This window comes from Homo sapiens, chromosome 7 (assembly GCF_000001405.40).
Source record: "Homo sapiens chromosome 7, GRCh38.p14 Primary Assembly".
In the NCBI taxonomy this organism is placed as follows: domain Eukaryota; kingdom Metazoa; phylum Chordata; class Mammalia; order Primates; family Hominidae; genus Homo; species Homo sapiens.
In genome coordinates this window covers 123,655,866-123,664,863 of record NC_000007.14, presented here as the reverse complement: position 1 = coordinate 123,664,863, position 8,998 = coordinate 123,655,866, and the positions used below count along the sequence as shown (strand labels likewise).

General features: G+C 42.4%; 1 protein-coding gene across 1 annotated transcript; it reads right to left on the bottom strand.

Annotated features, from left to right (window-relative positions):
• Positions 1 to 573: 573 nt before the first annotated feature.
• On the bottom strand, positions 574 to 8,998 carry LMOD2 (leiomodin 2). The gene is made up of 3 exons (NM_207163.3): positions 8,628 to 8,998; positions 1,661 to 3,004; positions 574 to 1,145 (listed from the first exon to the last, which is right to left on the bottom strand). Exons 1-3 carry the CDS (start codon positions 8,898 to 8,900, stop codon positions 1,119 to 1,121), a joined length of 1,644 nt encoding a protein of 547 aa, NP_997046.1. The 5' UTR covers positions 8,901 to 8,998; the 3' UTR covers positions 574 to 1,118.

The following is an 8,998-nucleotide window of genomic DNA, read 5'->3' as shown; positions in this document are numbered from 1 at the left end:
CATTTTTATAATAAATGATTGAATCAACATCTGGGTACCTATGGTACTTCTGGAAATATGGAAGCATCAGCTACCATCCTGGGTCTAGCATCAATGAATCTAAGATGATAATGATCACATTGATGATCTTTTTGCAACGTTTTATCTCACTTTGAAGAAAGTTCTTACTGGGCACGCTAGCTCACGCCTATAATCCCGGTGCTTTGGGAGCCCCAGGTGGGAGGATCTCTTGAGCCCAGGAGTTGGAAACCAGTCTAGGCAACACAGTGAGACCCCGTCTTTACAAAAAAATGAAATTGTTAGACAGGCGTGGTGGTGCATGCCTGTAGTCCTAGGGACTCCAGAGGCTGAGGCAGAAGGATCAGTGGAGCCAAGGAGTTTGAGGCTGCAGTGAGTTATGATTGTGCCACTGTACTCCAGTCTGGGTAACAGAGCAAGACTTGTCTCAAAAAAATAAATAAATAAATAAAATATAAAAAAAAATTATTGCTTGCAGTCCTTTAGAAAGAGATCTAATCAGATTTTCTTGAACAAGAGGAAACAAAGAAAGGCAAATGCTTAGGACCCAAACCCTTTTTGGGTGAGAATGTAATATTTTTTTTTAATGTCCAGTAATGTTACATACACACCTGACAGATGTATTAACTCACAGAAAAATATTAGTTTGGCTTTTTAAAAAAAGGGAAAAAACTTCAATACACATTTATCGAGATTACAAAAATCTGACAGATGTATCAAGTCACAGAAAAATATTAGTTTGGCTTTAAAAAAAGGGAAAAAACTTCAATCCACATTTATTGAGATTACAAAAATAACAGCACATTTCATGAACTCATTACAACTCGGAGTTACCAACACATCCACAGATAGGAAGAGCATCTTTAAATTAACTGCTTCTTGCCAATACAAATCTCACGACATAAAAAAGAAATTTATTTTCATATTTACAGAAGAAACATGCTGATTGTTTCTTAAGATTCTCTTTGGAATTAATGGGTGAGATTATTTTTAAAGTCAGGGATCATTTTGAATTGAAGAAGGTATTTTAGAAACATCTCACAATGCATTTCATGTAATACCACTGAACAGTTCTGCATCCTCTTCTAAAGATCATGTTTTTATCGCAGGGCTTCTGGAACTTCCACCTACAAAAATAGCGGATTTTCTCTCAATGAAACAACACACATGATAAGTGAAAAATATCTGTAGGATATGTCTCTAGCAGTATCCTCTGAGAAGAACTCAGGTTGATTATTGCTGCATGGTAATTTTTTTACCACATTATAAATTTTATGTTATAAATTAGGTATCGAATCAGTCACAACTCTGTGGTAAAATTTTTGACAAGTGGTGAATCCTTTTGGAATTTAGATTATATTCCCTGGTTTTCTTCTTAAGGGAATTGGGACGTGTATGAAAATGGTCCTTGCCCTTATATGATTGAGAGGCTGGGAAAGCGGCCCAGGCGTTCCTCTCAAATAGAAATGTGCTCACTTGTGTGCCTGCTCCTAATGTTTCAAACTTGGTGTGTTTGCTCTCGCATACTAAAATATTGAAAGTATTGATAAGTATTGTGAGAGGTGACTTTGGTACCACCATGCAATGGAGGACAACTCATTTACTTTATCTGTGCCCCTATGTCTGTTCTCTGGTTACTTACCCGCTTTAGCTGTTTTATGCTGCTTCCCCGAATTGCTTCCATGAGATTCTCATGAGCTGATCTCTGTGGGGTAGAAGGTCGGGAACTGTCTTCCATTTTCTTCTCTTGCACTGACCTCAGAGAATTTTTTATTTCCTTTAGAATACTGTTTGGCTGTTTCTTGACCTTTTTCCCTTTTTTCTTTTTTTGTCCATTTTGTAATGCCCGTTGGGCACTCTCCTGTTGTTTGATGACTTCTGCAATGTTTCTGGTAATGAGCTTTTTCTCTGGGAGTGGAGGAGGGGGAGGAGGAGGAGGTGGTGGCAGCCTTTGGGAAGAAGGAGGGGGAGGAGGAGGAGGAGGGGGAGGAGGAGGAGGTGTGGCCACAGGAGACAGAGGACGGCTCCTCACAGTCTGGACTTTTTTGGGGAGTTTTGGGGATGACCAGGGTGAGTGCCTGGGAGATACATAAGGTGAAGAGCTAGGTGTTCCTCTTTGCCAGACTTTGGTCCTAAGATTGGGTCCTCCATCGTATCCCTCCTGCTGTTTTTGCTCCTGCAAACGTTTTTGCCTCTGTTTATCCATATTTCTTGTCAAAATGCTCGTCATGCTCATTCTTGGTCCTGGGAGTTCAAAATGGTATCCCAGCCTCAGCAGCGTCGTGTTCTCCTTCAGCAGCTTGACAATCTCCATTTCCACCTGGCTGCCCATGATGTGCCTCTGGTTATGGAAACGCAGCTCCGTGAGCACCGTGTTGTGCTGGAGAGCTCTCATGATGGCCAGGATCCCCTTTCCCGTTATGAAGTTGGACTCGACGTTTACGTTGGTGATGTGCTCATTGACTTTGAGCATCTCTGCAATGGCCATGGCTGCACTGTCGTCGGCATGCGTGTTGGCCAGACTGAACGTCTTCACCACAGTGTTGTCCTTGAGGGCTTCAGCAAAGCGGGTAAGGGTCTGTGTTGTGATGTTCTCAATGTTGTTCAAATTGACTTCTGTGGTGTCAGGGTCATTGCTTTTAATCTTGTCCAAAGCGTCCTCAATCACTGTAGGATTTCCACAAGGGTGAATGGCAGCTGGGGACTCTGTGTTCCTCCCATTGCTGCCATTGGTCAAATTTATGTTCTCTATTTGACTTTTAAATATCTTTGGCTTAGAGTTGTCAGAATTGACACTATCATAATTTACAGTTCCATTAATCCCTTTTGCAGTTTCAATTGTTCTTTCCTCTTCGTCACTGTCTTCTTCCTCCTCTTCCTCCTGGGACTCCTCCTCCTCCTCCTCTGTATACACTTCCTCAGAAACCTCACTGTTACTTTCAGTAAAGATAAGCTCTTCTTCACTTTCCTCTTTGTCTTCTGCAACCTAAAGAGTATGATATCATCATTAAGCTTCTTAAAAATGATACCATTTTTAAGTACATTTTTTAACTTGCAAAAGTAGCACATGGCAAGTGACATAAGTTTATAATAAAAAAAGTTAATAATCCTCTGCTTCCATTCTGTCTAGTTCTCATGACCAAGGCTGACATTTTATTGCAATAAATAGCAATAGCTTTTTCTACAAACATTTCTCTTGTTTTCTGCAGAATATCCAGAATTCAACTTATTGAATAAAAATATATAATCATTTTGCTAATTTGAACAAATAAATCAGAACTTCAGCTTTGGAAAACCCTTGATAAATTTGTTCACCTCCTGAGGACCGACTCTTACTGGTTTACTCTCCATTTACTTACAATGTAGCAAATTCAACCCTCCCTTCTGGAATCACTCTGTTCTTTCTTATTTCTCCATCTCAAGCAATCAAATGACAACAAAAATATACAATATGTTAATGAGTTTCCCTTTTTAATTCAAAAATTCCCAAATTTTCCATCCATAGCAGATGTGACAGAAGCCAACCACTCTCTGCCAGGCCTTGCCTCAGTGTAGACAGAAGCAGAGCTGTCATTTGCTCCTCCAGCATTTATTTATCTGCTTCTACGGTAGAGCCCGGCACAGGGCTCTACCACAGAAGACTCTCTGAATCACCTGAGAGCTGCCTCTGTAGCTGTCCCTTATCTGGGCAAGGGAAGCCTAAAGGCAGGGCTGCTGCTCAGGACAGCAGGAGGTCAAAATCCAGTTCGATGCAGAGAAAACATTCAGGTCACCCTTTTGGGAAAATCAACTTGAAACCTCCAACTAGTCCAGGGTTAAATGAGACAGACTGTAGAAGACCAGGTGGGAAAGATAATCACCCTTGGCATCCACTAGATTCTAATCAGTAAAGTGGATGGAACAGCAGAGAACAGCAGAAAATCTTGAAGTAAGCCATTGCCCAGCCTGAAGGTCTTAAATTATTTAGCATGTATCAATTATGAAAGGCTTTCAGGCAAACACAATTTCATTCTATCTTTGTCTTTCCTGTTTACAAGATTTGCTGTACAAAGACGCTCAAGTGACCCCTTGTTTCTCTTTTTCTTGCTATCTTTTCTGATTAAAAAAAAAAAAGGTCTAGAAATTGCTGACAGAGTCTAATCTTTTTCTCCTGCTGTCTTTTTAGTCCTTTCTCTTTATCTTCTCTACAGCCCTGGGACCCTGCCCTGTCCTCCAGGCCCTGATTCTTCTCTCTATATTGGCAACTTTTTTTTTTTTGACCTCGAGGGCGCCCGCTGCCTGAAGCATGTAGATCTAGCTTTGGAAAACACTGCCCTTGTCTCCAGGTTCGTTTGCCCAGTTGCTATCACAAAATAGCCTCCAGTTATCCACTGTTTGGAGTGGCAGGCACCGAGTGATGGCCTGGGGAAGGGGTCAGCCACTCCTGGGATGACTTTTCCAGTCTTAATTTATTCACTTCTTCAGGAGCAGGGAGGGAGAGAGAGAGATACTCTGTGTGTCTCTGTGTGTGTGTGTGTGTGTGAGAGAGAGAGAGAGAGGGAGAGAGAGAGAGAGAGAGAAAGAGAGAGAAATGTTTGGTGGCAGCTGGCTGCAAGTCACAATGCAACAACATAAGAAAAAGAGTGTGGCTCTAGCCAAGTCTCCAGGCATACGTGAGGGAAGAGAGGAAGCCTTCCCTGTCCAGCAGTGAAACAAATGGATTAACCCGAGGAAGGAAAGAATTGTGGGCTGACTTCTCCTCACCCCATTCCACTCCAAATTCCTTATAATTCTAGTCCCTGTAAAGCTGTGTGTGTTCATGTGTTTGTATGTATTTTTAGCTGTTTCAGTATTTGGAGGAAAGGGGCCTGTCTCAAAATCCAAGGTATACGGCCTTGTATGACACCATTACATTTTACTCCCTTTGGTTTTTTAAAGACCCTCTGGCTCTATCTGCAAGATCTGTTTTCCCCTTATAATGTACCTGGACAGATAATATCTGAAACTGTGAATTGTCATATAGCATCTAAATGATAGATCTCCCAGAAAGCCTTCTTTGACATCCTCTCCAAATATCCCTCAGACGCATTCCCATACCATTGTACCCACCCCCAATAAAGTACCTGTCGCACTTTATTTTGGTCACTTGTTTTTCCCAGCAGACTGTTAGCTGTTGAGAGCAGTGGACCATGTCTGCTTTGCTCACCTAGCACAGTGCTTAGCATGTAGTAGGAGCTCAATAATTATTTGCTTACTGAATGGCTCTAAGTTGACATTGGTTAACAGCAGCTGAGAGTCAGGACTACACACAGGAGAAAGGTGATAAACCCTCCCAGTTTGCCTGAGTGTGAAGGGTTTCCCAGGATTTTAGTCATGAAATCTAGATAGTTCCGGACAATCTGAGATGATTAGTCACCCTAGGTGGGGGACATCTGGAGAAAGAACAGAAGGGGAAAAGGTGTCTACAGAGGCAAGGTGAGAGGATGCAAAAAACAGACTTCGCTTACTTTATAAAATACTCTGTCCCTAGGGGGCCTGTTTTATTACAGATTTCCTATATGCCACTGCTTTGGCATTAACCCTGATTCTTTGGAGAATGGAGGTGGGAAGGAGGGTATAGAATAAGGAGGTGGGAGATGAGATGGCAAGGGACTGGACAAGGAGAAGGGGAATGTTAGTAAACTTAGAAAACAAATCAGGTAATGAGAAGAGTGGCCGGTTGTTTCTCCTGATCACCTCCCTATTATGTATGTACATATCACATTCAAAGTATGTGTTAATTGACCGTTTATGTTATTGGTAAGGCTTCTGTCCACAGTAGGCTATTAGTAGTTAAGGTTTGGGGGAGTCAAAAGTTATACATGAATTTTGGATGCTGCAGGGGCAGGAGTTGGTTCACCTGACCCCCATGTTATTCAGGAGGTAACTGTAGTTGAGCGGTTCTTAAGTTTTACTGTGTGTCATAATCACCTGTGAGAGCACCAATTGTTGGGCCCCATCCCCAGAGTTTATCATTCATCAGATTGACGGGAACTCTATAATTTGCAGTTCCAAGAAGATCCCAGGTAATGCTGATGCTGCTGACCGGGCACCCACAATTTTGAAATGTTCTTTAATTTTCACTTCTATGTACAAGCTCTTAACCTCTAATGAGTTTCTTAACCTTGCCTTGTCTCAGTTCTCAAGTGCAGAAAGTTAAAAATGAAGTGAGATAATGGGAGAAACTCATTGGCACCTGTGCTGAGATTTAACCACTGCTCAATAGGGGAGCTAGACCATTGGGATTCTAGGGTCCCTGGGAGCCCCAATGCGGCATAAGTTTGTGTAAGCCCAAGTGGGCAGAAAGGCTGGCATTCAACAGGTGTTGCATCTGCTTTTTATAAGCCTTTACAGAGCCAGCCGCCTGATAATCAATCAAGACCCTCCGCTCCTTCTCAGGGTCCTTCCTTTATGGCTCTTCACTTACGCAACTACCTTGCTCCCCCAGCCACCCAACAGCTGCTCGAAGATTTTCCCTGTTGTGGGAATTGGATTTGCACCCTCCATCAGCAAGTTCCTGCTCATCATGCCTGGCAACTACAGACAGCTGGCCAGCAGGGAAAGTACTGGGAGAAAAAGTTAATAGCCTAGAAAGGAACCGAAGTCCATCAACACAGCAGCCTCTCTAATTGAGCTGATAAGCCATTGGCAGGGATCAGCAAAACCTTTGGCAGGATCAGGTGGGTTCGTCCGGCTGACGATAGGTTTTGCTCTTTGGTTCCCACCACTATCATGTCATTGTGACATTAAAAAGCCTTTGTTGGATTATTGATACATTGGTTGTACAGCCTGGATATTCTGAGACAGTTTTATTCTTTTTTTTTTTTTTTTTTTTTAATGAGACAAGGTTTTGGTTTGTGGCTCAGGCTGAGTGCAGTGGCACAACCATAGCTCACTGCAGCCTCAACCTCCCATGCTGAAGCCAACCTCCCACCTCAGCCTCCTGAGCAGCTGGGACTACCACCTGCTAATGTTCCACTAAACCCAGCTAATTTTTTTTTTTTTTTTTTTTTTTTGTAGAGATGAGATCTCACTATATTGCCAGAGCTGGATTTGAACTCCTAGGCTCAAGTGATTCTCCTGCCTCAGCCTCCCAAAAAAGTGTGGGAATTATAGGCGTGAGCCAGCATACCCAGCCAGTTTTATTTTATTAAAGAGAGTTTTAAATAATTGTGATGATAATGTCATTGTTATTTTGATGCTCATTATCACATCAAAGAAAAAAAAATCCCTCTTAAAACAATGGTTGTGGAGGAATTGACCTGCCCAAGTACTGACTTGTATGTGTCCTTCCTTCTAACACACCCCTTCTAGCTGATTAGTACTGTGGCCTTGGCAGACCCTGGCCAGATCCCAGTGGCCCTTCCTGCAATGATTGACGTGGACAAAACTCACACATATCTTGCTGCAATTGTGGCCAAGATAACCCTATCATCAAGATCATCTAACAGCCCTAGATTAGTACTGTGGAAGTCTTGCCATTGGCTTTAGGCCATTTTGATTTTAGATGATTCCAACAGAGTGCAAGGGTTTTAAACTGTTTCTCCTGACCTATGTTCTTCCATAATTCCGGAAGAATTTTTTTTTTGTTATATGGACACTTTATTGTCATTACTGTTTTCCCAGAGAATAATAGTCTTTTGGACTTCCTTCTGGTATTGACTCATTTGGCAAATTCAAAATAACTGTTTACTGGGCAGTACACAAGAGCTTTATAGGCCTGAGCTCTGATATAAGCACATTTCCTAACCTCAGGATCACCATCGTAAAGGAGACAGAAATCGAAGAGATCATCTATACAGCTGTGCTGCCCCTGAGTCCTCAGATGGGTTTCAGGATGTGTTATCATTTTGAAATTCTATGCAAAAGTTGGTGTATTTTGCACAAGCCCAGGGCTATTTTCTTAAGAAGGTTCATAACTTATCAAAATCTCAAAGGGGTTCTTGATTCGCAAAAGAAACACTGTCTCTAACTCCCTCAATGTCCAGAGGGAAAGAGAACCCTGTAAAAGTGATTGTTCAAGGTCTAAAGATGTGGGAACAGAGCAGGGACTCATAACAAGGCCCTGTGACTCTCAGTGTCATGTACTTCCCACCACCCCACACTTCTTGGTATTGGAAAAGAACTATTTCACCATAGCTACTATCACAGTCAAAGCAACCAGCGTTCCCACTTTTGTCTTTATAGGAGAAAATAAATGTACTTAACTGAAAAAAAAGTATACATTTATACGTATGCATGTATCTTGGGAACAAATATTATGCCACATTACCAACATATAGCTCAAACAACACTTATGTTTGGCAAAATATTGAATCCCATACACTGATTGTGAATTATTTTCCTCTTGAGCTTTCTATTTGTAATCAATCAAAGAGCCCCAATTAAGAATTTTACATATTATGATCCATTGGGTGGCCATAGCATTTACATGATTATTTCAGCCTGAAAAATGATTTAGTAGCAAGTATAAATGGGTTATAGGAAAATTCAAGTGATGAGGATTGAGAAGTTAGGGAAAACAAGTGTCTGGGTTTGGGATGGGGTGATGGGGAGGTGGGGTTAGCCAAGGAAAAGTCCCGAGAGCCTACCTTTCCACATTCCCCCAGCCTCTCCTTCTCCAAGAGTTTTTGGGACTCCTTTTCCCAATAGGCCATCAGTGCCTCTCTGCTGAATGTCCCTGTGGGGGTTTTCTCTGTCAGGCTCTTTTGCCTTAGCCCCACGGGAAGGTTGCGGTCAGGTTCAATGTCTTCCAACTCTCTCTCTAGCTCCTTCAGCTCCTCGGCTGACAGGGAGGCGAGGAGTTCATCCTCGTCGATGGATTCGTATTTACTGAGTCCTCTTCGGTAGCCAAAGGTAGACATGGTCCCTGCTTTGTCAGACCCAGAAGGAGCTTGAAGGACCAGGCATTCAAGGCGGCCAGAAGCAGGCAGGGAGGCAAGTGGCAGGCTGGTCAACAACT